This window comes from Homo sapiens, chromosome 17, assembly GCF_000001405.40.
Source record: "Homo sapiens chromosome 17, GRCh38.p14 Primary Assembly".
Taxonomy (NCBI): Eukaryota; Metazoa; Chordata; class Mammalia; order Primates; family Hominidae; genus Homo; species Homo sapiens.
The window spans coordinates 79,144,023-79,172,016 of record NC_000017.11 but is presented as its reverse complement, the minus strand read 5'-3'; the positions used below and the strand labels follow the sequence as shown (position 1 = coordinate 79,172,016).

At 59.9% G+C, this 27,994-nt stretch overlaps 1 protein-coding gene across 58 annotated transcripts in view, besides 1 other annotated feature; it reads left to right on the top strand.

The window, feature by feature from the left end:
* The window catches only part of RBFOX3 (RNA binding fox-1 homolog 3), a 576,227-nt gene that overhangs the window by 493,555 nt on the left and 54,678 nt on the right, over positions 1 to 27,994 (top strand). For 3 of the 58 annotated variants that reach the window (NM_001385839.1, NM_001385813.1, XM_011524360.2), the window contains exon 5: positions 26,920 to 27,108. The exons of 54 other annotated variants lie outside the window; for them this stretch is intronic. The gene's annotated coding sequence lies outside the window, so the exon portion shown is untranslated. The remainder of the gene's footprint in view (positions 1 to 26,919; positions 27,109 to 27,994) is intronic. One more of the 58 variants, NM_001385818.1, reaches the window with a different exon arrangement.
* Positions 9,948 to 10,448: an enhancer, noted in NCBI's record as "H3K4me1 hESC enhancer chr17:77157651-77158151 (GRCh37/hg19 assembly coordinates)". NCBI's record gives its function as "activates a minimal SCP1, AML or CMV promoter by ChIP-STARR-seq in primed H9 embryonic stem cells {active_cell/tissue: H9 hESC(primed)}" and the evidence as "EXISTENCE:reporter gene assay evidence [ECO:0000049][PMID:30033119]".

The window sequence follows — 27,994 nt, the reverse complement described above, 5'->3', positions numbered from 1 at the left end:
TTTTTCGTACAGACAGGATTTCACCATGTTGGCCAGGCTGGTCTCGAACTCTCCTGACCTCAGGTGATCCACCTGCCTTGGCCACCTGAAGTGCTGGGATCACAGGCGTGAGCCACCGCACCCAGCCAAAGGTTGGTAATTCTAATGGATCTTCCCCCTCCTCCACCCTTTTTAAATTAAATATTACAGCTGGGTGTGGTGGCTCACACCCGTCATCCCAGCACTTTGGGAGGTTGAGTTGGGAGGATCACTTGAGCCCAAGAGTTTGAGCTCACACATGTAATCCCAGCACTTTGGGAGGTTGAGTTGGGAGGATCACTAGAGCCCAAGAGTTTGAGACCAGCCTGGGCAAAGTGGCAAGATCTATTTTTTTTTTAATTTATAAAAAAAAAGTAATTAAATGTTAGTAATTAGTGTGATTCAAAAGTCTGGAAACCAGAGATCTAGTGCAGGGGTCTGTGGAACAAATCTGTCCCACTGTCTGTTTTTATTTTTTAAAAGTTTTATTGGAACACAGCCACGCTCATTTGTTTACGTGTTGTCTGTGTTAGCTTTTGCCTGGCGACGGCAGAAATGAGCAGTTGCAGCAGAGACCATATGGCCAGCAAAGCTCTAAATATTTGCTCTCTGGCCCCTCGTAGAAAACGTTGGCCAGTCTCTGGCCTACACCAGCCCTGTCCGCAGATGGCAGCGTGGTGAAGCCACGGGTGATGTTACGTTTCCTAACAGCCGCATCTGCAAAAGTAAAAGGAAGCAGATGAAATTCGTGCTAATGACGTGTTTGTGTAACCCAGTCCAAACTGTTTTCATTGCAGCATTTAATCAATATACACATGATTGAGATATTTGGCATTCTCTTTTCATGCTGAATCTTCAAAATCCACTGTATAATTTTCACTCACAACCCACCTCAATTGCTCGACAGCCACATGGGGCCAGTGGCTGCTGAAGTGGACAGCTCAGATCTAAAAGGAATAAGGCTTATCTCCACCGGAGACCTAGGCAGGTGTCTCAGGAGCGGGGCTCTGCCCTCTGTGTTTGGGGTCTGGACCTGTGGCAGTGGATCTGTGAACAGGACCATCCACACGGAGGCAGCAGTTTACGTGGAAAGACAGGGTTGAGTGGGTTCACGGGGGTTCCTGGAGCACCTGGTACCCGGGGTGCGAGGGAGTGAGTGTTTTGGGGCTCTAGGCTGAGAAATTTTGACTTTTTCCAGTAGGCAATAGGGAGCCACAGAAGGTCTTTGAGCAGGGAGTGAGGATCAGATTTACAAGTAAGGAAAGTTCATCTGGGATAGAAAAGGAGGGGCCAGAAAGCTACAGACCAGGGGCGGCCGGAACAGGGGTATGGGCAGGGGCAGCAGTAGGGACAGAGAGGGGTGGATGGGGAAGCTTTAGCGGGAGAGGTATACCTGGGAGGCCTAACGGACACACCACGGAGGGGTCCCTGTAGAACAGCTGGTTTCTGGCTTCAGGACGGTGCAGACGCGTGGTGGATGGGATGCTTGAGCCTGCACTGACCAGGCCTTGCCCCCCCAGCCCTCAAGAGCCCCCAGGCCGTGGCTCCCTGATGGAGAAAACACCTTCCCTCCCCTGGCCCTGGAGCCCTCCCTCAGGCTCCAGGCTGGGCTGCAGGCCCCTGGCAGGGGACTCTCAGGTCCAACTCCTTCCTCTATCTCCCCTCTGGCCCGTTTGGCAGGACCGGAGCCGGTACCCCAGCCAGCCATGAACACTTGGCCCTCCTGGAAGCTGGACACCGTTAACCTGTTGTTCTCCGTGAACATCTGGCCTGAGCCCTACTGCAGCCAAGGCAGCCTCTTCCGGACCCTGCCCTTCCTTCCCCTTCCTTCCTCCTTCCTCCTCCCTTCCTTCCTTCCCTCCTTCCTCCTTCCTTCCTTCCTTCCTCCTCCTTTCCTGCTTTCCATCCTTCCTTCCTTCCTCCGTTTCCTTTCTTCCTCCTTCCCTTCCCTCTTCTCCTTCCTTCTCTCCTTCCTGCCCTTCCCTCCTTCTTTCCTCCCACTTTTCCTCCTTTTTTAACTCTCTCCTCTTCCTCTCTCCTTCCTTCTTTTCCTTCTTTCCTTCTCTTCTTCCTTCTTTCCTCTCTTCATTTCCTTTCCTTTTAATGATTTGTATCTGTGGGCTTTACGTATCGTAACATTTACCCTTATGAAGTATACGGTTCCGTGGTTTTCAGTATATTCTCAGCGTTGTGCAGCCATCGCCACTTCTAGTTCCTGAATATTTTCACCATCTTAACAAGAATACCATGCCCAGTGGCAGCCACCTCCCGTTCTCCCCACCCAGCCTCTGGCAGCCTCCCAGCCCACCCGTGTGCGGCCTTCCTGCCAGCCTCTGTGGATTTGCCTTTTGGGGCTGCCTCATGCCACGGGACCACACCAGGTGGGGCCCTCGGTGCCGCCTCCTGTTTCTCGAGGGCTGCAGTGTGCAGGGTCCCATGGTGGGAGGGTGTGGACTCTGCACTGAGGGCTTGCAGCCCTGGCGGAGGCAGGCGGGGTCCTGGGTCCTGGGTCCTGGGTGGGGTGTGTGATCTTAGCTGGCTCTTAGAGGGGTCTTGTGGGAGCAGTTTGAGGGCCTGTCCTGCCCGCAGTGGGTGAAGGAGCAGGGGAGGAGGAGAGGGACTGCCCACCGCACAGCCCAGGGGTGTTCCCTGCCCTTCCCCTATATGGAATCCTCACCGCTACCCCAGCATCTGAGTTCAGGATGCCTAAGGTGTGTGAAAAAGAAAAACCCAGCCCCTCCAGTGAAACCCGGGTTGCTGACTGCCCTGGGCCCAAGCAGAGGTGGGCACCCCCCTGCATGTCTGAATCAGGGCTGTGAGTGCTGCCTTTGTCCCTCTTACAAATCCCAAGTAGGAAATGACACCGGGATTCACACAGTCCCCACGGATCCGCCCTGTGCAGCTGGGCTCTTTCCTGAGAGCTGAGCAGGGCCAGGGGGCTGTTTGGAAGGTCCTCCACTCAGCGGCAGTGTGGCGAGAGCCAGTGTGCGTGTTTGGGGTGCTGGTTGTTTCCAAGGGTGGCAGGCATGTATCACGGCTGTGTGTCTGGGGCCACGGCTGCATTGCTACGGATCTGGTACTGTGAGTACCAAGTGGGCTCTCTGCCCTACCTGCATGCATCTGCAGTGCCTTCATGACCCAGGGCCAGGCGAGGGCGCACCCGGCATGTAAGCCCAGCGGGAAGACAGGGTGAGCTAGGAGGATGAACCAGCAAATGGGCCATGTTCCCAAACACACTGGCTGACAGAGGAGACCATGGCTCTGTGTCTGCCGGGCCACCCGCAGAGAGGCCGCAGCCCCGTGCGGCTGGCCTGTCCAAGGTGGCACTGTCCCACCTCAGTGCATTCATCAGCGGATGTGGACAAGCGGGCCAGGCCGCCCACACCTGCTCAGTGACCCCTCTCCCCTCAGAGCCTCAGTTTCCTCATGGACCAGTGGGGGTGAGGACACCTCCTGGCTGGCAGGGTCAGGGGGCCACAGGACATAGGGCGGCCGTGGGGCCAACCCCCTTGGGCACGGGCCTCTTCTGTTCTCTTAGGCTGTGGATCTATGACATCAGGAAGAGAAATTGCTAAGATAAGGTCACAAAATGTGTAGTTTATCTTGACTATTTCCATTTGGTCAATTCACAATTTAAACCCATACTCAGGCAGGTGCCATGCAATTGTGCTATTCATGAGTTGGTGGTGGGATTTATTTTAATTTAGGGTTGGAAGTATGCTTTGGAGGCACTGGTCGCAGGTTCCCTGCCCAGTGGGGGACCCACCCATGGCAAGCCGCACCTGCCTCTTTAGGGCCCTGCCGGTCAGGGGTCAGGCAGCAGCGGGGTCAGGGCCCTCAGGGATGGACCTCCCGAACGAGGGTCGGGGCATCAGAGCCCTCTGGGCTCCTTAGCCTCTGAGCCGGCCCCACTGTTTCAGGACCCCGTAAATAAAGTGCCAACCACCCTCCCCAGTTACCCACCCCTCACCCAGCCCTGGGGCTGGGGTCCAGCCGGGGACCCCCACTGCCCCCCACTCTGTGGTTGGAGGTGAAGGGAAGGGCTTTTACCTGGGGGAGGCCCATCTTTGTCCTGCCCCCTCCTCGGAAATCCATAGAGCCTTTGGAGGTTCTGTGCTTCCCCTGGAGGGTCCCGGATGAGCTCTGAGAGGACCTAGCATCCCAGAGAGGCAGCTTCCAGGGTCCCGGGGGCACCTCCAGGCCCCGTGCTCCGGCTCCGGGGTGCCCTGGACCCCAGGTAGGGCCAGGGTTGAAGAGGCCCCAGGGCAGCTGATGGGGAGAATTTAAAGCGAGGAATCTAGACGGGTGGCGGGACTGCAGGGGACCCACCAAGCACGCTTCCTCTGCGGGGGCAGGCAGACTGCGGCCGGGGCTGTGAGTGAGCCCGGGGTGAGAGAGACAGACCAGAAGACAGGCTTGAGTGCCCTCATCTGTAAATTGGAGTCCTCAACCCCGCCAAGCCTGTGATGGCCAGGAAAGGACTCCATGACCCATGGGAGGCTGCTGGGGGATTATGCGGCCCCACTAGAGCCAAGGTCCCATGGACCCACAGCCCTGACATCAGCCAGGGCCTCCTTGGAGGGTGCTCAGTAGGACCGTAGAGCCTGATAGAGACCCCAGAGGGAGAGAAGGAGGGGCCCCCAGAGCCTGATAGAGACCCCAGAGGGAGGGGAAGAAGGGGCCCCCCAGAGCCTGATGGAGACCCTGGGGAGAGAACAAGGGAAGAGGGGCCTAGCACTCCCCGAGCCTGGCACTGTGCCTGGCACTGTACCTGGGCTTGTTCTTGGCCATGTGCCTGGCACTGTCTGGAAGTCTCTGACTTGAGCCTCCAGCAGCCCCAGGATATGATCGATCTTCCCATTTCACAGAAGAGAAGAACTGCGGCCCAGAGTAGCTGAGAAGGTTGCCCTTGTGAGCGCGTCTGTCGTGGGGGTGACGTGCCCGCCTTGCCGGGGGTCTTGAGAGAGCTGGGCTCTCTGGATTTCCTCATGGTCCTTTGTTTGAGGCTGTCTCTGGGCCCCCGGAGGCATGGCCACTGGTCTGTTCACCTTCTTATTTTTAACAGCTTTATTGAGGTGTAATTTGCATACTGTAAAATTCACTCTTTGGCAGGTGTGCAATTCGGTGACTTTTAAGGAATTCACAGTTGTGCAACCATCCCAGAAACCCGTTTTTGAATTTTCATCACCCAAAAAGTTTATTGGCAACTTCCCTTTGTTTCGATTCTCCCACTGAGCCCAGCCTGGCATCCGCACTCTGACCTGGCTGGGGCCAGCCCTGGCAGGAGGGGTGGATGGGCTCTGAGTGGCCTGGGGGCTTCCCTCGGCCAGGTGGATGGTGAGGGTCAAGGGCCTACATTCCGACCTGTGCATGTTCATAGGGGCTGGGCTCCTCCTCCGGATCTCGGTGCTGGGGTGTTGGGCCTTCACCTTCCCTGAGGCTCTGCCCTCCCTCGGGACCCTTCCGAAGCCCCCTCATTCCCTTCCCCCATCTCAGCTCCCCGTGGGTGGCTCTTGGACTCCCCTTCATCTGTGGCTGAGAGCTGAGCCTACTTAAGTCTTTTGATCTTGGTTCAGACATCATCCCCTCCGGCCATTCCCATTGCTGCATGGCTCAGTCTCGGCTGCCTGAGTTGGAGCCCGGGGCGGCTACAGCTCCTGGCGGGCTCCCCACAACTGCCCGGGCCTCCTTTCCTGAGCATAGCTCCTGCCAAGGCTCCCCTCCCACGGGAGGCTGCGCTGGGGGGTGCAGGAGGGAAAGGAGCCCCTCCCACACTGGTGTTTGCTTGGAGTTGCATCCTCCAGTTTGTCTGGGGCCAAGGTTCGCCCTTACCTGCCCGGGGGGGGAACAGGAGGGGTGGGCGTGGGCCAAGCCCAGGTTTGTATCCCTCTGTTGTACCTAGTTCCAATCACAACTCTGCCGCACGCCGGGTACAGATCTGTGCAACATCTCACTCCAGCTCCCTGGGCCTCAGTTTCCCTCTGTGTAAACCCGGGGCCTGTGGACACATCCCTCCCCGGCCAGTGCACGCGGGTGCCCTGCAGGGCCTTGGCTCACAGTGTCCTCAGCAACCCCGCCGCGTGTCACCGGCTCCCAGCCCTGCTGCAGGCAGAATGCCCACAATCTCAGGGCGTCTCATGGTATCTGCTGCTGCCCTGCCCTCCTTTGGGGTGATCCAGGTAGGCACGGGACCCCCAAACCAGGACTCAGCCCCTAATGATCCTGTGACCTGGCCTGACTTCTGGAAGCTTCCAGAACCTGGGGGTGGGGCATGTCCTGGACATAGACCCCAAGCCCTTGTGCAGGTCTGAAGATCGTGTCTGAGGCACCTGCGAAAGGAGCCAGGGACCCCGGCCGGCGAAGCCAGAATTTCTCCAGGGGGCTCCGGAGCCAGAAAACAGGAGAGCACTGAGAATGGGATTTAAAAGTTCATCCCGTCACCTCCCGGGATGGCTGGCATGGAGGAATCGGGATGTGCACCTGCCAGCTCTGCCCAGGGGCCCCCGCCACCTGTCCCCCAGAGGGATGGGACCCCGCTGTGCCCTCCTGCGGCCTCCCCAGGCACCCCCTCCTTCCCAGGCTTTCCCAGCTCAGTCTAAAATGAGAACCAAAGGAAATGAGGAGCCGGCACTTCATTTGTGCACTGCATTGTGTTGGGGGCTCTTAATTAGACCTAATTAGACTAATTAACTTTCAAATGAGAAACTCGGGTTTTTTCCTCCTCCCTCCCTCTTTCTCTTCTCTCCCCTTTCAGAAGATGACACAAGGATAAATATTTGAATGGCTCACCGCAGCCTGGGAGGTGGAAGCCAGCCCAGAGGGCTGTGCAGGAAGATGCTGGAGGGCAGAGGACACCAGCCCATGTCTCCCGCCTCTCATCCCTCCCGGCTGCTCCCCATGCCTCCCCCTCCCACCCTGCCTGTTAGGTGTGGCCCGGCTGCTTTTGTTCAGGGGCCATGTCAGAGGCTCCTTCCTCCTGGCTCTAGAAAGATGAGCGTGTGGTCTGGTCTTTCCTTAGCAGATGTTATTCTGAGGGTTCATTTTCTTCCCGGCACTAAGGGTGGAAAGATGAGTGAAACGCTGGGTCCCTTGGGTGATTCTGGTGCAGGGAGAAGAGGGGCGAGGGAAGTTAAGGGTGAGTTCTGCCTGCTAGGGCCACTGCATTTTCTGCAGTTTGGCTCCCCCTGGCCCTCCCAGCCCGCTGCCCAGGCACATGGGAAGACCAGCTTCTGGGGCATCAGGGCAGCCACCACGCGGGTGAGGCTCCCAGGAGGGTGCCTGGACCCCCGGCCTTCCCACTTGGGACCTCCACTGCCCTCACCAAGAGAAGGGCTCACCTCCATGAACCGAGGAATGCGTGCACTTTTGTTTTGCTCCGCCGTGCTGTGGCCGCACCTGACGCTGGGCCTCCCACCAAGGGCCAGTGGCACCGTTTTCACTGGCACAGCTGGCCATGCGCCAAGGCACCCAAGGTGTTAATTATGTAACACCTCCCCCCAAGACTGAAGGGGTGAAGTGCCGCCCACCCCCAGGAGCGTCTCTCACCAGGCCGCAGAGCCCCTGTCCTGCACCCAAGCTGCGGACTGCACAGCCAAGGACAGTCCAGCACCTGTATCTTGGGGGTCTTCAGGGTTAAGTGGGATGACCCCACGAGCTCAGCACGGTGCTGCCCACAGGAAGTCCTTAGCCTGTTGGCTTCTCCCAGCTCCCCACTATGCCCTAACCTTGGACTCCTGAAGAGCAGCTGCACTTTTCTGCCCAGGCGCTACCGCCACCGCCCCTGCCAGGTGGGGAACCTGGGGTGCAGCCATGCCCACCCCTCCCAGAGGCCTGGGATCTCTGGGATCTTCTTGGCCCATTCTTTCCCTCCCCCATCCCAAACCTTGAGCTTCCCCATCTCACCCTTTTCCGAACCCTGGTACAGAAGGATTCCTGGAGCCCACACCTCTGTCTGAGCTGTGGGGTGGAGGTGGGCCTGCCTGCAGAGGAAAGCAGGAAGCTGCTTCTGCTGATATTCTAGAATGTGCTGTATGGTCAGGCTGTGGGGCAGGGGTCCCCACCCTCCAATTGGCCCCAGCCTGTTTGCATGGCTCAGCATAAGAGTTCAGGAGGCCTGGGCTGGGTGGGCTCCAGCAGGCCTGTCTGGACACCATCTGGCCCAGAGACACCCACAGCACCTGGGCAAGGAGGAGCTCAACGCAGGAGACCCGTTCTGCATCTGGCGGTCCCAGGTGCCTGAGGGAGGTGGGGCACCCTGTTGGCAAAGCTTCCGCATCAGCCAGGAGGGAAGCAAGTGGGGTGCGGGCGGGTGGGGGGCATCCCTCTAGGCCTTCCCCACCCAGGCAGCTCTGCACCCAGTGCTGGGTGGGCAGGGTGAGGAAAGCACCAGTCTGGTCCAGGTGGCAACAACCTTCCCGGTTCCCATCCTGCCCTCCAGCTCTGGGACTTCCCTGACTTTTTATGTTGCCAGGGTTTCTGGGGAAGAATGTTCTCCTGAATGACAGGATCTCTGCAAACCAGAAGGGTCTGGGGCAGCGTCAGAAGGACATTCGGATGCCCTGGCCTCTCCACTCTGCCCCACCACAGCCTGAAGAGCATCCCTGGAGTCTTGTTTCCGGGATCTCTCAGTTTCTCCAAAGGCTTGGGGTCCACACCTCCCCTCTTGACACCCTCAGAACACTGAGGCCGTGAGGCCCCGGGCCTGCGGCTTTCCCCAGGCGGGGCAGGAGCGGTTGCCTCCTCTGTGACACTTGGTGTTCAGCCGAGTGTGCTGCCCGGCCCCAAGGAGGGAGCTGGCCAAGGCCAGAGAGGGACCCGGCTAGGGTCCTGGGGCCGGATGCTCCCAGGTGAGATGGGGGAGCAGTGGCCACACCCTGGCCAGAAGTTGCTTTTCTCCCCCAGCTTGAACCACTCTGTTTCAGCTTGGCAGTGAGGTGGGCACAGTTTTGGTCCCGCCGTCACCCTCTCTCCCCCAGACAGCCCTGGCGTGTCTGTGCTCAGGAGCACCCGAGAGCTGCATGTCACAGACCTCGGTCTCCTCCGTGACTTTGTCCCTCTCCAGGTGGCACTGGAGGATGTTCTGAAAACTGCAGTTTGAGAACCGCTTGATCAGAAGCCGTGCCACTGGCTTTTTCCATTCCAGCACCTACTTCCCCAAGCCCTGAGCTGTCCTCTACCCCTCCCGGCTCTCCCAGCCCTGCTCTCTCCGCCGTCCCCTCCTTCACCTGCCGCGGGAGACCCCCGCCCGCCCACACCACCCACAACACCCGAGGGCTTTGTTAGCACAGCTCAGTTCAAATGTCTGATTAGTCCTTAGGAGATCGAGGGGTCAATTTTCCACAGCTCCTTCCTCTCCATTTAACTAATTTAACTGCGCGATTGTTACAAATTCCATTTTATTATAGCCCCGCTTCTCAGTCCAATTGAATTACTAAAATCTCATTTTCTCAGAAGTGCTGAATATGTAATTAGAGGAAAAATTATGCTCCTGCCTGCCTATTAGGATGGCTCCATGCATGTGTGCTCCATGTGACATGTGACAGCCACACTGACGTCCTCTGTGTGGTGGGCCTGGCTGGAGGCAGGAGAGAGGCAGGGCTGGGCGCGGCACTCCACTCACCGGGCTGGGGGCGGCCTTGTCCGACGTCTCACCTTGCAGGGTGGGCCCCATGCTCCGTCCGGGTGAATGAGAACATGTGTGTGCAGGCGGCCCCATGACTGCAAGAGGAGAAAACCACATTAACTCCCAGATTACAAATTAAACAATGTCTGTGGGCCATTGTAATTAAAGGGAAATTCAATTCCCTTCTAATGCCCCATTATGTCTGGCTCTGCAAGGTAAAGCTGGGATTGTGCTGCTAGTTTAATGGGACCAGAGGTTACAAGGAGCATGAACATTACCCTGAGATTTGGCCTCCTTTTTCTGGCTCCCAATTCTCAGCAGGGGCAGCTGGGGGCAGAAGTCTGTGAGCGGTTTTGTAATCTGTCTAGTCCTGAATTTCCTCCCATCCCTGTCCCCCAAAAGTCCCGCTGGGGCCTCATAGCCTCCTTCGACTGTTGTGGGTTGATTGTGGCAGGAGGCCCTGGTCCCCACAGAGTGTGGGTGTGGCCAGGCACGGTGGCTCATACCTGTAATCCCAGCATTTTGGGAGGCTGAGGCAGGCGGATCAAGAGGTCAGGAGTTTGAGACCAGCCTGGCCAACATGGTGAAACCCCGTCTCTAGGAAAATACAAAAATTAGCCGGGTGTGATGGTATGCGCCTGTAGTCCCATCTACTCAGGAGGCTGAGGCAGGAGAATCGCTTGAACCCGGGAGGCGGAGGTTGCAGTGAAACAAGATCGCGCCACTGCACTCCAGCCTGGGTGACAGAGTGAGACCCTGTCTCAAAAAAACACACACACAAAAAAAAAACGGAAGAGCCATAACCGGAAGAGCAAGGGCACTTCAACCACCAGCTGCAAGAGCAGGCAGGCCAGCTTCCGGGCCTCCACACACCCCCGAGGGGGTTAAGTTGCAGGAAGACGCATTGTATTTAAAAGGTGAGGTCACTTCCTGGAGCAGCATCCCCAGCTGGTATGCGGAGACGGAAGTGATGGGATCGGGGTGTGTGCTGGAGCCATGCGGTGCTTCCAGGCCTCCATGAAGGGTTCATTGGCAGCAGAGGACGGGCTTCATGGGGCCTCTCAGCATCCCTTCTCCAACCTGACCTGTCCCCTGGGCTCTGCGACTTGACTCGTGCCGGCCCCTTCCTTGGCTCACTCACTCTTGTGCATCCTTCAAGGCTTTAGCTGGGCCACCTCCTCCAGGGAGCCTCCCCTGAGTGCCTCAGGCTGGATGACCCCACCATAACCAGGCTTTGTTTTCTGTCCTGCTACAGATTATCTGCAGAGGGGCTATGTTTCTAACCTCCAAATTCCTGGTGGGCAAAAACCAGATAGACATCTTCCTTGCCTGGGTGTTGCTAGCAGTTAGCACTGTGCCCAGCCCACGAGACTTTTTTGTTTTTTTTTTTTTTTTTGAGATGGAGTCTCGCTCTTGTTGCCGAGACTGGAGTACAATGGTGTGATCTCAGCTCATTGCAACCTCTGCCTCCTGGGTTCAAGTGATTCTCCTGCCTCAGCCTCCTAAGTAGTTGGGATTACAGGTGTGCGTCACCATGCCTGGCTAATCTTTGTATTTCTAGTAGAGACAAGGTTTCACCATGTTGACCAGGCTGGTCTCGAACTCCTGACCTCAAATGATCCACTCACCTTGGCCTCCCTAAGTGCTGGAATTACAGGCATGAGCCACTACGCTCGCCAAGATGTTTATTAAGAAAAAAATGAATGAATGAATGAATGAATGAATGGGGGAATCCCAAGTCCTGCTGTCCCTTCTCAGAGAGTTTTCTGGCCTAAGAGTTGTTTGAGAGTGGGCAGGTGGGATATGGGGGTGCCCCGGGAACCCAGGCCTGCTCCAGGGTGAGCTCGGGATGGATATACAGCAGGAGGGACAGCTGCAGGCTTGTGACCGCCCCACATACGGGGGACTGCCCAGCTCTTAGAACTTAGGCCTTGGCCGTACAGGATAATTGAGACCCCATCCAGAGACCACGTTGGGTCTCTCGTGCTCTGCCCTGCAGCTTGAGGTGGGACCACACTGCCATGCTGTCTGCTGCACGCTCACACGCTCGTGCCTTGCCTTAGTGCCTGCATGGCCCCCAGGTCCACCCCTTGGGTGCAGAGAAATGTTGGGGTCCTAGGCGTCAGCCCTGGCTCCAGGCCACCTGCATCGCCCCACGTCTGGGAGGGCATCATGAATCACACATGGATTTTTCCTCCCGGCCTGGAGCTATGTCTGCTAATCCCCAGCTTCATCTACTCACAGATCTCAGGAGAATCCCCCGGGGCCGGAGCTAGGCAGTCACTTACTACTCGAGCGGAGCGTTCCTGGGGAAGGCAGCCCTTGCTGCCTGTTGGCCCTTCCTGGGGCCAGGGAGGCCCTGAGCAGAGCTGCCCTCCGTTTTGTCTGCACTTCAGAGGGCAGTGGGGGCTGTATCAACGGTGCTGGGGAGAACTGTCCCGGGACGCTGGAACACTCGGCGGACACGCATGCACCCTCGCTGAAGCCTCTGAGCCGTTTTGCAGCTCATCCTATGAGGGAGGTGGGAGTAGCGACCTGTCCTCACCCTCCTCAGCAGCTGTAGGGTGTGAGTGTGGAGGTAGTGTGTGTGTGAGTGGTTGTGAGCAAATGATTTAGTGTGGACATGTGTGTGACCAATGTGTGTGTGTAAGTGATGGGTGCACGTCACTCTGTGTGTGTGTCCCCCAGCTGCGGGCATGCAGCCCAGGCGTGGGCACGGTCCTGTGCATGTGTCCCTACCACCCCAGTTGAACTCTGAGTGTGTGAGTGGGTGGCAATCAATTTCCTGGATTCAGCTGAGACCAGGTGAGCATTTTCCCAAAGGAATATTGCTTGAGAATGAAGGGAGAATGCAGGGGTGTTCCAGGAGTCTCCAGGAGCCTGCCACAGATGCGTGTGGAGTCCAGCCCTCTCTGTGTGCCCAGACTTGGTCCACAGGATGGCTTTCCTGTGCGGCTTGGGCTAAGCCGGGGGCATTGGTCTCAGAGCTCTTGGAGAGCCAGGGCCGCAGGCAGGCATGCCCCTGAGCCATCTCCATCTCCGGCTATAGAATCTGTGAGGAGGAACCGCCCGGGCCAGCTCTACCCCCAGGACTCTCATCCCAACCTGCCTCTGCCTCCTGGTCTCCCATAAGTGGACACATGGGCACCCCCAGGTCAGCTCACCTGGTGCTGGGCATTGAGTCAGAGCCTCCCTGGCCACCCAGCACAGCTCTTTGGGTCTCCGCTCCCCAACTCACACTAACTCCCACTACCCACCTGCCACAGAGATGCCCTCTTGCTTCTCGTGTGGCCTCGGTAGCTGCATCACCTTGGTGCCTGGGTGGCCTTGGTGTCTCTGTCTGTGAGCTGGACATGGCCTGCAGCCTCGCCTTCACTGTATGAAAGCGCTTAGTATACAGCAGGTGCTCAAGCAGTGTCGGTTGGGGCTTACAGCACACTCCACACTGTCCTTCCTTTGCACCCCTGGAAGCCGTGAGAGTCCATCTCTGGGAGTCCCAGCAGCCATCCTGGGGCCGCAGTTAGGAAGTTAGAGAAGTGACTGCCACGTGGGCTGAGCCAGGTCCCTTTCCAGGTCCCTAAAAATCACATAAATTGGGGCTGTACCTGCAGCTGGGCTCCTGTCCTGGCCACCTCCATGCCCTGCTCAGCCCCGGAGCCCTTTTTCATTTATGTTTTAATTTCTCCTCCCAGAAAACAGTGAGCTCTGAGCCCTAGCCACCTTCCTTGCCAGCCTTGGTCGGGCGTCCTTAGCAAGGGCTGTCGGGAGCAGACCCTGCCTGCCTCTGCTCCGTTTGGCTGTGTTTGTAGGGGCTCTGGTTGGGGTGTTTAGGAGTAAGCTGGCGTGAGAGCTGCAAGCAAGGTGCCCAGTGTCCCCGGCCTCTGAGTCGTGGGGAAGTGTAAGAACAGGAGCAGGTTTGCAGTGCCCCTGCTCAGCCTGCTCCAGGCTCTTCACATCTTAACCGGCTCACCACAGCCCAAGAGGTGGGCACATTGCTATCCCATTCTACAGTAGAGGAAACTGAGGCACAGAGGGCATAGGAAGCCTGCCCAGGGCCAGCCGACTAGTAAGTAGCCGTATTGGTCTGCCACAGACCAGGTGGCATAAACAACAGGCGTTTCTCCTCGCGCAGTTCTGAAGGCTGGGAGTTTGAGGTCCAGGTGTGGGCAGGGTTGGTTCTGTTGGAGGCCTCTCTTCCTTGGCTGTGGATGGCTGTCGTTGCCCTGTGTCCTCACATGGTCGTCTGTCTGTGTGTGTCTATGTCCTAATCGCCTCTTCTTGTAAGGATGCTAGTCATGTTGGATTAGGGCCCACCCTAATGACCCCAGTGTAATGTAATCACCTCTTTAAAGGTCCCGTCTCCACGCACAGCCACATTCTAAGGTACTAGGGGTTAGGACTTCAGCGTAGGAGTTGGAGCGGGTGATACAGCTCGGTCGTTCTCAGCAGCAGAGGCAGCTCCCCAGGGCCGTCTAGCCCCATCCTAGCTTGCAGTCGCCTCCCCTGTGCTGCGTCTCCAGACGTGCGGTGACCATAAGCAGCACTCATTGTTCATCTGGGGCTGGCCAGCCAGGGAGTGGGGTGTCCTTGGTCATCTGGGCCAGCATGTGCCGAGCTGGGTGGAACATGGCACTGCCAGCCTTAAGAGGTGGTGGTGGGGACAGCGTGGGCCTGGGAGGGACTGTTGATGCCCTGGCCTCTGTCCCCCGGCAGAGCTGGCTCTCCTGGGACAAGGAGAGGAGCTGTGCTCAGGGCCCAGGGCATCTCAGCTTTTAGGGACTTAGGGAAACCCGGCCCCTGTACAACCTCACCCCCGGGTCCTCATACTCTACCACGCTGAGTCCCTTGGGCACATCAGTAAGTGGCACCGGCCAGTTCTCGCTGTGGGCTAGATTTGGTGACCCAGGGGGAAGCCAGGCATCTGTGTTCTTGGCAGGTTCCCTCGGAGGGTCCTGATCAGATTCCGGGGCCTTACGGGGAGAAGCTTTGTGGTCAGTGTCTGTGGAAGGGGTGCATGGACGGCAGCTGGGCTCTCCGCAGAGGGGATGGACAACTGTGGGCTCTTGGCTAGGCCACAGGGCCAGCTGCAGAGTGGACAGTGCCTGGGTGCTGATGGACGCCAGGCCAGGGCAAAAGCAGAGGGAGCGTGAGGACAGAGTGGGGGCCCCTGGGGTGGGAGACGGGGAGTAAGAGCAGAGCCCAAAGTGAGACACGCAAAGGAGAGAGCAGGGAGGTGTCAGGACGAGGACACCGGAGGGGTTTCTCTGAGTCTCTGGGGGCCCTCCAGAGGCCCCTGCCCTTCGGCCACCTCCACCGCCTCCCTGGCCCACAGCAGCGGCTGAGGAGAGCGCAGGGGCTGCTGCTCTGGCCAGGGAGGCTGCAGACCAGACAGTGTGGCTCTGTAGCTTGCCAGGGATGAAATTCATTCTCACCCAGCCACCACAGCGGGGCAAACACAGCCAGCCAAGGGCACAGAGTCCCCGCGCCTGCCAGCATGCCGTTTCCTCCCGGGACTCCTGAGAAGGGCCAGTTCCCATCAGCAGAAGCCAAGGACTCCAGCAAGCCAGGCTCACCCTGTCCTGCTGTCCAGCTCAGGGGCCGGCCAGCCAGCCCAGTCCGTACGAGGCCAGACAGCACCTGGGCTAGTCTCTCCGGGCCACACAGCCTCTGCTGCAACTCCTCAGTGATGCGGTAGGGCGAGCACAGCCGGAGACAATATGTGAGTGAGGGGGTGTGGCCAGGTTCCAATAAAACTTTATTTACATAGAGAAGCAGCGGGCCAGATTTGGCCCAAAGGCTGAATTGTGCGTATCCCTGGTCTAGCTGACCATGGGGACCCTAGGCCTGCCCAACTGGAGACGTGGAAGAGGGGTGAGGGCAGCCAAGGAAACCCAGTTCCCAGCCCAAGCAGCTCAGGCGAGGTTCTCCCCTGCCCCCGCAGTGTGTGGGGCTGCCAGGCCTCTGGGGTCACTGTCCCTGGGAATGGGGACCCTCCCAACCAGGGGCTCTTCCTCTGGTGTAGGCCCCGGGAGGCTGGTCCAGAGAAGCCATGGTTGGTGCCTGGGTGGATGAAGAATGGAGGACTGGGGTGGCCACCATGGAACCCCCAAACCTGAGTCCTGGACAGCAGAGGCTGAAGGACAGTTTCTCTCTGGGTGACCTCTCTTGGATGCCAGATCTCTCTGCATCCAAGACCCCCAGAAAGTTCAGAGCGTAGCAAATGAGGCGGGCGCATCCTCCTTCCCAAGACCTTTTCCCCGTCACCCCCAAGTGTGTCAGTCCCCAGAACAACAGCCAGATTGGACTCAGGCACCAGGGGATGGCTAGGCCTGGCCGAGGGACGAGGCCGCTGAATGATGCCCACCTGGAGGGGCCAGGGAGGTTCTGCACTTGGGGCCTCCCCGAGAGGCCCTGCTGCTACGCACCTGGGAGGCAGCGATGCTGAATTGGCACCAAGGCTTTGGCCTGACACCCGAGCCCCGTGGCAGTCAGAGAGGAGAGGTGCGGGTGGGAACAGCTCTACCCCCAGCCACCATCGGGAGGGGAGTGCGTCTGGGGTGCCTCCAACCTGGGGGTGCAGGGGTGGGCTGCCTCCTGCCAGGCTGTGGCACTCTTGGGGACTCCCACCACCCACCCTCCAGTCCTTGCCTCCCCCGTCTTGGAGGTGCTGGCACCTCCATTCTCTTGCCCACCCTGGTCAGAGAGTTGGTCGTTCTCATCTCCGTGCCCCTAAGGGACAGGGTCCTTCTCCCCACCCACTTCGTCTTCACCCTGAGACCCCCCTGCCCCCAGCTGTGGCCCTCCGGGCTGCACCACCTCTGCCGTACAGCATTACCATTTCATAATACTCTGAAATATACATGAAGTCGGCTGAATGCAGACAAAATTGCACCATTTACTGCATGAATATTTCATGCTGGCTCCGCTCCGAGGTATCCGTCTGATGGAGCTGGGAGCCTGCCGCCCCGGACCTCCCTGCCCACTGGCTTCCTGCCCGAGAGCGGGCAGTGCCCAGCTCCACTGTTGAGTTGGGGTTGCCCGAGGAGCGGGGAGGGGAAAGTGTTGAGGAGTCTGAGTGATTGCTGGGGGTACTGTCAAGGCTTGGGGGTGTGGGGCGGGTTCTGAGCAGCGCCCTGGCAGCCACACCCCCACCTTGTGGGCTCTGTGTTCACAATAAAACCTCACCAAGGCACAGAGCCCCGGGCGGGGAGGGACGCGGCACTAGCTGGCCACTTCAACATAGTACTTAGGCGGGAGCTGCTGCTGCCCCGGGAACCGCTGGGCCGAGCTCACGTGCCGTGGCAGGGAGGCCGCCATTCACGGCTGCCCACTGCCCCCTCCCCCACCCACCCTTTGGATGCCTGGCACGGCTGCCACCCCTTCCTCAGACGCCGAGGCTGGGCTGCCAGCGCCACCTGACGAGGGCTGAGGTGTCCTGGGAGGCGCAGGACCCCGGGGCCTGTGGAAGAGCAGGGAGGGAGGTGGGGATGTCCTGCCCACCTGTGCATGTGCACCTGTGCAGGTGCCTGGGAGGGTTCGCACTTGCTCAGTAGAGGGTTTGGGGGAGGCCCAGACTCCTCAGTGGCACCTCCTGCCCACAGCCTCCCCTTCCTCAGAGAAGCAGGAACCAGCCAACGGGGCAGGGGCCAGCAGCTCCAAGGCCTGAGGTCTTTGGTGCGGCTGATCTGAACCCACGCCAGTCTCCCGGCCACGTGGGGACCGGGCAGGGCGAGACCCAGCCAAATACTGGCTCGTCCTGGCTCATGCCCGGCTGGGCAGCCAGCCAGCGTCCTTCATTCTGTCTGCCCTCAGCCAGACCTCTCCAGTCAGGTTCTGAGCCCTTCAGCACAGGCGCCCGACTTCCTCCCTCCATCCACCCTTCCCCACTCGTCCACTTAGGCACTCACTCCTTTATTGAACACCTGCTATGTGCCGGGCATCGTGACAGCACCTCGGTGCAGCAGAGAAAGAGAGATGAGGTCTTGGTCCTCACAGGCTCACAGTCTGCGGGGTCCCCGAGACAGAGGGCTAACAGCAGAACCCACTTCAGGCAGGGTGGCCAGGGAGGACATCTCTGAAGGGGCAGCTTTGAAACAGAAGGAGCTGGGCAAGGAAAGACTGAGGGAACAGCATTGTGGGTACAGGGAAGGGCATGTACGAGGGCCCTGAGGCCATGGAGCTTAGCGTGTTCGAAGAACTGAACACAGACTCTGGTGGCTGGAGCCAGCCAGGTGGGGCGGGACTGGACAGGGAGGGAGGGAGGGAGGGGACCAGCAGAGCCTTGGGGGCCGGGGTCAGGAGGGTACATTTCTTCAGAGTGAAGGGAAATCATTAGAGGTTTCAGGCAGCAGAGAGGCACGGTCCAGTGTGTGCTGTTTTAACCATCTCCCTGGCTGCCGTGGGAGCCGGACTGGGCCCGCCCCTCCCATCCCCTCAAGACAGTAGGGTCTGCGGTTGTCACTTGAGGGTGGAATGGATCATGGGGGCTGGAGACCACCATGGGCAGCCGGGGCTCAGGCCTGTGTGGGCATGTGGCAGGAGAGGGCTGCAACCACAGGTGCCAAATATCAACATCCATGGTCCCAGCCGGGTAGAAAGCCCATTGCCAAAGGTGGGAGGAGGAGGTGGGAAGTCAGGTGCCCAGGTGCAGGTGGTGGGATTGGTTACACGTGATTCTTTCCTGGTTTCTTTTCCTGTGTGTATAATGTCCGTGCAGCAAGTAAGGATTGGGAGGAAGGAAAAAGAAAAAGCCGGATGGGAAATCTGGGAGCTTGGTGTTCTCAGTGCTGTGTGTCCTTGGGCAAGCCCTTTAGCCTCTCTGGGCTCTGATAAACGGGAAGCCTGGCCCACCCTGGTTCCCAGGGCCCTGTCAGCTTTAGCCACTCCTGTCATTCTGAAGTCCCCAGCCCTGACACCGAGGCTTAGCTGGGCTCACACCTGTTATCACCCCACCAGCCCCAAAAATGGGCTTCTCGTGGAGAGAATTTTCTAGTAGAGGGAATTTGGAAATTCTCTCAATGAGGCATGAAGTTCCTTCAGCACCTTCTAGAAGGCCTGTGCTGTTTACCTCCCTGGCCACACCCTCTGCACATCTTGGCCAGCACAGGGTGCAGGGAAATGGGGTGATCACAGGTGGTCGTTGCCTGCTGTGTCCGCCACCCACCCCCAGCCAAGGATCTGGGGGTCAGCAGTTCTGCAAAATGGGAGGGACCCCAGAACAGGGCCAAGGGTCGGGGGCAGACACAGCTGGACCAGGGTGAGGCAGGAAAAGTGAGCTGCTCAGTTGGTGAGGGGCAGGACGGGGACAGAGGAAATAGGGCAGCCCCAGCGGGCAGATGTCCTGCCCTGCACTTAGGGAGTAGGGTGGGGCGGGGTATCTGGACAGCGGGCCCACCCGACCGCAGCCACCTCCAGACCTCCCCTGCCTCACCAGAGAAGGGCTGGAAACACCCCCAGCACAGGAGTGCTGGCAGCCTGTAAACACCCGCAAGAAAGCAATGGGCAATGCGGCGAAGTCCCGGAGGCCGGCGCCGTGTTCCTGGTGTGGGAGGATGGGGCAAGTCTGGCACCTGTGCCCAAGCCACTCTGCCTCTCGGCCCTGTCTTCGCCTCTGGCCCTGCCTCCTTTGTTATGTGGATACTGCTTCGGTGCCCCCCACAGCTGTGTCTGCCCTGCTCTGGCCCTCTCGCTGGCTGTGACATTGTTCTTTCCCTCTCTTTCCCCTTTTCCGTCTCCTTCTGGGGACCCTCCACCTCTCCCAGCTCCCAGAGTCTCTGCTCGCCTGTGCAGCTTACAGACTTGCACAGAGGGTTCAGGGCGCTTGTGGGGCGTTAAGCGGGGTGAAGAAGCTCACAGAATGAGTGCCCTCATCCCAAGTTCGGGGTGACCCCCGGCCCAGCTGGAAAGGGATACCCCCCCACCCTAGTCCCCCCTAAGGAGGTTGCTTCCTTGCCTCGGCTGCGGCCCGCACTGCTCCTATGACTCTCTGGGCCTCGGCTGGCACAGTGCTTTGATTTCTCTGGAAGGCAGTGTCCACGTTTGCTGACCCGAAGCAGCCGCCTCTCAGCTTCACTGAGGATGGGCTGGGGGAGGTGCCCCGAAGTCTCGCCCCGGGGGTGGCCAGGCCCCAGGTGCTAGAGAGCAGCTGGGCTTGGACATGGCTTGAGACCCTGCAGGGACAGAGCCCTCTGGGGCTCCCCAACCCTGGCCCCTCTCCTGGGACCCCACTCGCCCACTTATGCACAGTCTCAGGCTCCCAGTTGAGACTGGCTCTAGTCCATCAGGTATTGGGACTGGTGGGTGGGGGGAGCCCTGAGGCCTCCCAGCCTCCCATCACCCCTCCTGCTTCCCCATTTCTTAGCGTTCTCCCCTGCGGGACAGGGGGCCTTGGGGATGGGGGATGTGGGAGCTCCCCCTGCACCTCCCATCCGCGCCTCCCTCTGTAGGTCCCCTCCCATCCTCGCCTCCCCTCCTCCCCCTGCAGGTCCCCTCCCATCGCCTCCCCTCCTCCCCCTGCAGGTCCCCTCCCACCCTCGCCTCCCCTCCTCCCCCTGCAGGTCCCCTCCCATCGCCTCCCCTCCTCCCCTTGCAGGTCCCCTCCCATCCTCGCCTCCCCTCCTCCCCCTGCAGGTCCCCTCCCATCGCCTCCCCTCCTCCCCCTGCAGGTCCCCTCCCATCGCCTCCCCTCCTCCCCCTGCAGGTCCCCTCCCACCCTCGCCTCCCCTCCTCCCCCTGCAGGTCCCCTCCCATTGCCTCCCCTCCTCCCCCTGCAGGTCCCCTCCCATCCTCGCCTCCCCTCCTCCCCCTGCAGGTCCCCTCCCATCGCCTCCCCTCCTCCCCCTGCAGGTCCCCTCCCATCGCCTCCCCTCCTCCCCCTGCAGGTCCCCTCCCATCCTCACCTCCCCTCCTCCCCCTGCAGGTCCCCTCCCATCCTCGCCTCCCCTCCTCCCCCTGCAGGTCCCCTCCCAGCCCCGTGCCTTTGCTCTCTGCCGGGAAGCCCCTTCCCCTCCTTCCCGTGACACCGAACGTGTCTGGACCCAGAGCCGTCGGGACCACGCGTCCCGTGGGGCAGCTGACCCAGGGTCCCTTCAGCCCCGGCACTGGATTTCGCTTCTCCCCCTGGACTGTGTGTCTTTTTCTTCTCTTGTGTTCCCCTCAGCCCTCCCAGGGCAGGGGGTGGTCAGCACGCAGGGTCTGATGCCGGCTTTGTTGCTTGCCCCGAGTAGGGGGAGCAGCGCGAGGATCAAACCCAGAATCTGCGCCAAGAGCTGCATTTATTGTGGTTCTGAGAGTCCAGGGCCCAGCATGGTGGAGGGATGTGTGTGTGCTGAGCACTTGCGGAGCGTGGACTGGGGAGGTGGCCTTGCCCTGGTGAGAGCCGCACAGCAGCGGGGCGGCCACCAGCACTGCCCAGCCCTCTGTGGCAGGCAGCAAGCCAGGCTCGTTGCCCAACTGAGGCTCCCTCGCAGGCGGCGCTAGGCATGAGCAAGCCCTCGTCCTCCCATTGCGCACACGGGGACACTGAGGCTCGAGCTGAGGTGACCCCCCTGAGGCCCCATGGCCAGTCAGAGGCACCCTGTGGCCTCTGCAGTTCCCTGCCCCCCTCTTTTCTCGGAAGTGCCCATCCCTACCTGCCTCTTCTCTGGCTAAGAATGTGGGGCAGGTGTGGGGTTGCTGGGGAAAGGAGGAGATGGGAGGTGAATCTGTTGCCCCTGCCCCTGGCAGGCCTGGCCTTGCCCCCAGAGGTGGTCAGGTATCCCCTACTTCAGTGACAGCTCTGGTGGCCCTGCACCTCCCATTGTCTCCCCTGGTTCTCAAAGAAGTTGAGCCAGCGCGGCCACCTGTAGAGTGTCCGGCAGTTCAGCTGCCTCCTATCTTGAGTGATGGGCAGGCGGGACCAGGGTGAGGTTGAGGCACTGAAGGAACCTCCTGGGCTGGGGAACAGGGTATGGGGGTTGCGGATGGAGCTGAGTTAGGGGGTTGGCCGCCTGCAGAGCCCAGAGAACGGCCAGGCCTCTACTGTCTGCGTGTCCCAGGCCCACAGCAGCCACTCTGCCCCTTGACCCAGAGCGTCCTACCCAAGCAGAGTGGCCTGGGCCCCAGCCAGGACCCCCCACGAGGCTTTGTGCCTTGAGGGCCTCAGTCTCCTGGGACGTGGCTGCTGCTCTAGGTCGTGGCCCACAGCTGCCGCCCACCGCTGCCCACCACCCTCTTGTCCTGACCTCAAGGGCAGCTCCTGGTTGCCCCTCCCCTGTGGATACCTGAGAGTCCCTCCTTGTCTGCCTCCAACTAGATCCACCCCAAACCCCCACCCTCAACCCCCATCCCCATCCCCCACCCCCACCCCCCACCCTCAACCCCCATCCCCATCCCCCACCCCCACCCCCATCCCCATCCCCACCCTCAGCCCCCATCCCCATCCCCACCCTGGCACTTAGCCTGAGTCCTCAGCGCAGCCACTGTCACTGCTTATTATAACACCTGTCCCCCTCCTGTCTCCAGGCCCCAGAGGAGGAGGCTGGCAGCCATCTCTGTCCCCTCACCCTGGCACTCAGAGATGCTCAGTGGAAGCTCAGCTCATGGCGATGCCCAGCAGCCGCCCTGCCCTGTCCTCCCAGGACCTGCAGGTCCGTTTACTGACCCCACTCGACATCCCAGGGTCTTGGGTCCGACAAAGTGAGAGAAGGCCTGAGCGGGCGGGCATGAGCCCCTAGGCCACCCCCAACCTTCTGCAGTGTGTGGGGACGGTCCAGCTGGCGGGGAAGGCAGTGGTCAAGCAGTCCCGAAGGAGGAATCGTCCACGGACCCCCCCAGGCACACTTCCCACTGCCCCACCCACTTCACAGCCTGAAGCTCCTCCCCACAGCCCACCAAAGTCCTTCTCACTGAGGCCAGGTCCACTCTCGTGTCCAGCCCTGCTCCTCCCCCAGGACAGCAATGCCCGTGTTCCAATCCAACGAGTGGGGAGAGCCACCAGGAGGGGCCGGGGCTGGGCCTGAGCCAAGCCCCCCTTTGTCCTCCCCCGTGCCCCCACTCCCCCCACTGCCTGCATCTGGGCTCCCCGTGGCTGCACCGGGCCAGGGAGGGGTCCCGAGATGCTGCCTCCCACGCTCTACTAAGCCCCAGATGGATGCCCTGCCACCTTCCCAGGCCTTTGCTAATTTGGAAACACCATCCCTGGTGTAACCCCGGCAATAATAGCACAGACGTCGCATTTTCCTGGCAGGCAGCGGGGGTCCCAGCCTGGGTGCTGCGGGAGCCTCCATGCCCTGGAGGATCTCCTTGTGCTTCTTAAGCTTTAGAGTGCGCTGTTCGTCAGTGGTGGGAGCTGCAGGCTGAGTGTTTGAATCCCACCCAGTCCAAGCCCAGAACAGCATGAGGGTTTTATGGTTAGCGTTTCTTGAATGAATTATTCCAGCCCCTTGAAGTTCCTGGAGAAAGCCCCAGGCTGTCCCCCTCCATCCCCCATGACCTTACAAACTCAGGACCTGATCAGTGCCAGCGAGGGTGGTCTCAGCCTTTCCCATCCTCTGGGGACTTTGGCCTTAGCCTACCCCAGCCAGGCCCGCAGAGGCCCTCGGAGGCTGCAGGGAGCCCCGGCGGGGTCGGCCTCCCTCCCCTGCGTCCTCAGACTCTGTGGCCTGTGCTTCTGGGATAGAGTCGCCCAACTCTCATCACTTCCAGGAAGCAACTGCCTCATGTCGGGCACTGAGATTAGATCTTGGTCTTAGTTTATTCTCAACAACCTGTAAGGTGGCCCCAACTACTGTTAGCCTCAGTTGAAGACTAGGAAGCGGATACCCAGAGAAGTTCAGTGGCCTTCGGGAGGCACTCAGTGGCCGGGGACAGAGGCAGGATTGGAACCATGGTCTGGGGGGGTGTGGGGTGCTTCTCCCTCCTCCTGTGGCTCAAACCTGGGTTTGGCTTCAGGCTGTGGCATGAGCCCTGCCCCTTCCACCCCCCAACTTCTGTCACCCAGGCCCCAGCAGTGGGGCACAGGGCATGTTTGAGCTTCTAGAAACATCTAGACTTGGACCCGCCCCAAGCCAGGAAAGAGTTTCTGAGTGAGGCCTGCAGGAGGCAGCCGAGAGGCTTGGGAAGGGACCTTGGGAGGCTGGAGAAGGGACTGTGGGTGGGAAACGGGACCCCAGTCCTCCAACCAGAATGGAGACTCCAGGCACAGAACACAGCTGCAAGGAGTGTTAGCCATGACCGCTCCCAAAACCTAGAGAGGCTACCGTGTTCCTGTCTGCCAGACACCTGTCTCTGGGTCTTTAGGGCCGCACGCACCCTGGGGTCCCACGGTGAGGAAATCTTGGTCACAGGCCAGAGCCTGGCCCTGTACATCCGCCCTCCCCCCGGGGCCCCACGGCAGCGGCGGCTCTGGATGGATGGTGCAGCATTTTGGGTAATGAAATATTCACAGGTCAGTGATTCCTTGAGAAATGATGGGGATCAGTCAATTCCTTTTCAGGGAGTAATTTTCTTCCCCTTCACAGCCTCTGTTTCATGTTGACAGTCATTAGCATGAGAGAGAGGCTGGATCGAAGGCGCTTGGCAAAGCTTGCACCAGCTACTGCCTCGTCGCCCACCGGCAGCCCTGGCCAGGTACTGGGCACCAGGGGCGCAGAGCCTGCCTGGACACACTTGTGGGTGGCGGACAAGGCCCTTGGCCAGCCCAGAACCAGGGGTGTGCAAGGCTGATTGGGCTCCACGTGCTCTGCCTTTTGGGGTCTTGCCAACTACCTGCTTTGGGCTTTGCCAAGGGCAGGGGACAGCCATGGCCCCCAGGATCCTCTTACCAGAAGGTGAGCCCCCCCCCTCCCCAATGAGATCCTCCCGATCTCTGGACCAGGGCCTGCCTCTCAGGGCAGCAGGGAACTCCCCAGGCCTCTTCTGGCGCACAGCATGGGCCAGGCTCCGGAGGGGTTGGGGGAAGGCTGGCGGCCTCACTGCCTTTACAGCCTCTTCCAGGCTTTGGGCTCAAACCCCAACTCTGATGTTCCCTAGTTAATTATCTTCTCTACATCTGGGTTTCTGCTTCTGTAAAATGGGCTGCGTAGGGCTGGTGAACTGAAGCTGTCCTCCCGGCCACCTGCAGAGGTGGGCACTGAATGGATTTCCTGCCTCCTCCAGAAGGCCAGACATGGCCAGCGCCTCCTGTGACCACAGTGTCCTCCTGACTTGGGCCGTGCCATCTCTGAGGACGACACGGACGGGAGGGCAAGGGAGCAGCCTTGGAATTGGAGGGTCCTGGCTCTGGTGTCCAGACAGCAGCACAGCAGGCTGGGAACCTGGCACCGGGGGCTGACCCCGGGACACCCGGAGGCTGGTGCAGTTTCTTATTTTGTCCCCTGTTCCCTGTAAGATCCAAAGTAAAGGATCTCACCCCTGGGTGTGTCCAGGAGGCAGGCAGGGGGCCCGTTTTGATCATGTTTTGCTAAAGCCAAAGGGGGCAGCCAAGGAGCTGCCAGACACCCTGCCCAGGGGCTCACAGCAGGGGCACCCGCCCTCCTCAGGCCTCTGCCCCCTCCTCATGGTGAGGTTGAGCCTGCAGAGAGGAGACCCACCATCTTCCCCAGCTTCTGCAGGACCTCCCAGCAGCAGACCCACGTGACCAGCAGGCTGCAGGCCCAGGCCCCCATGGAGAAGCTTTTCTGGGCCCTGGGCAGGCACCAGCTCTGCTCCAGAGCCAGGTGGGGCTGGACTCGCAGATGGCAGCTGGTCACACACAGACCAGCCCCTCAGCTGCTCCCCAGTGAGGCACAAGGCTTGTCTGGCTGCTTTGCACACACCTGGGAACCGACTGGCTTTGCCTGGAACCAGGATGGCATGTAGGGTTCTTCCAGGCCCTTAACATTGAACCTGACAATTCAGAGAGGGAAAGAACAGGGCTAAGACTAAACCCAGGTCTTGAGTTCAAGTCCAAGCAACACCCATTTAGGATGGAGTCACGTACCCTCTTGCAGACTCGGTCTAATGCAGTGGTGAAACGGGGGCCTGCCGGCCCCTGGGGAAGCTCTCCCTCCTGTCATTTGGCCCAGGGCACTACTGCCAGGCTGGGTCAGACTCTGATGGGCGTCTGTAGGAGGTGGAGCAGCATCTCTGGCCTCCCTGCATTCGATGCTAGGGACACCCCACGTTGTGACAACCTACGTCAGGGGTCTTCAACCCCTCCATGGCTTGGTGGGAACTGGGGCGCACAGCAGGAGGTGAGCAGCGGGCAGAGGAGTGAAGCTTCGTCTGTATTCATATCCGCTCTTCATCGCTGCCGTGACCACCTGAGCTCCACCTCCTGTCAGATCAGCAGCGGCATTAGATTCTCAAAGGGGCACAGTTCACGTGTGAACTGCACGTGCAAGGGATCCAGGTTGCATGCTCTTTATGAGAATCTAATGCCTGATGATCTGAAGTGGAACAGTTTCATTCCAAAACCATCCCTCCCCAACCACCCCCCTGCCCCCGGCGGCCTTTGGAAAAATTGTCTTCCATGAAACCAGTCCCTGGTACCAAAAAGGTTGGAGACGCTGACCTACCCTGTCCCCAGCAGTCATCAAATGTCCCCTGCAGGGCACCGTCGCCCGGCTGAGAGCCCCCGTGTGGGCCGCATGGATCCACGTGTCAGTGGGTCCAGGTGCTGAGTGGGAACTATGCACTCACTTTGCCGAACGCCTTGCCTGTGGTGGTGGCAGAAAAAACACAACCACAGAGCGGCGAATGCCCCATTTCCTCCCTGCTGCCACCACATGCGGGGCCAGTGCTCAGCAGGCCTCTGCGCCCCCAGAAGGAAGGCCAGGGCGGTGGGGCGGGGCCCCCTCTCAGAGCCGACTGGGCTGGCCTGTGGGCTGGCTCCGGAGAACACGGAGAGCAGGTGCTTCCCAAACTCGGTTGCACATTGGAATCACCACAGGAGCCTTTAAAGTCCCTGTGGCCAGACTTCGCCCCAGGCCAGTGGCCTCAGACCCTCTCCAGGGAGGGCACCCAGGCACCAGTATGTTTTAAAGCTTCCAAGGCAATTTCAGGGTGCGGCCACGTTTCAGAACCGCCACGCACATCGGGAACTTATTTGAAATACACTCAGCCCATCCCATACCACTGAGTCAGAATCTCTGCAAGACCCCAGGAGACGCAGGTGCACACTCGGATAGGACGTGCGCAGGCTCCTGTGTTGGGGGTCCTGGCTGAGCTCGATGATGGGACAGAATCTGTGCCCAAACTCGGGCTCTGGGCTTCCTGAGCTGTTTTTCTGGGCAGTTTCTCAGTTTCCCCTGATCTCCTAGGACAGGCAGCGACTAAGGACCCCGCACACCCTGTCCCGCCCCCACCTTGCTGCGATTCAGTGCCAGTCCCTGCTGAGAGCCTCGAGGCATCATTGTGGATTCTCCTTCCCTGGCTCAGGTGGGAACCAGCGTGTGGGAGCACAGGTGCGCTCGTCTCCTTTGGACTCGGAACCTGGTGACAGCTCGGAGGTGGGTAGGCAGCGGCCCGTCTGCCCCTTTTGTGGGCCAGGAGACATCTGTGAAGGGAGGGCGTTTGCCTCGGGCCCTCAGCTCTGACACATCTACACTTCAGGCTGGTCTTTGGCACCTGAGCTCTGCCTTCCTGTGCCCGAGTGGGGGGCACCTAGTCCTCAGTTTAGGACTAGGAAACAGAAACCCAGAGAGGTTCATTGGCCTTCAGGAGGCACTCGGCGTTCGGGGACATAGGCAGGATTGGAACCGTGGTCCCAGGGCCGGGAGAGGGGTGCTTCTTCCTCCTCCTGTGGCTCAACCCTGGGCTTGGCTTCAGGTCTGCGGCATGAGCCCTGCCCCCTCCACCCACCAACTCCTCTCACCCAGGCCCCAGCAGTGGGGCGCAGAGCATGCTTGAGCTTCTAGAAACATCTAGACTTGGACCTGCCCCACACCAGGAAAGAGCTTCTGAGTGAGGCCTGCAGGAGGCAGCTAGGAGGCTTGGGGAGGGACCTTGGGAAGCTGGGGGTCATGTGACGCCTCTGTGGTAGGCGTCTCCCGCCTACTCTGCCCACCCCACCCTCCGTGGCCGTCCTGCAAAATCTTGGCACATTTTTAAACAAGGCAGCCATGGGGCGGGGGTAGAGCGGGACAATTCTTCAGGCCTCACGGATCCTGCCTCGAGAGCAGGCCCATTGGCCACCCACTGATGCCAGGACGGCTTGGAGGGCCTGGCCTGGCTCAGAGGCAGGGGGAGGCAGGCCCCCCTCTCTGGCCAGGTCAGCGCATCCCTCCACCCACACACGACATCCTCTGCAGGGAGATCTCTGGACCCCTCGATGCCAGTGCCGGGCCTGTGGCTTAGATGTGTCCTCCTCTGGAGGGTGTCACGGGCAGAGCTGGG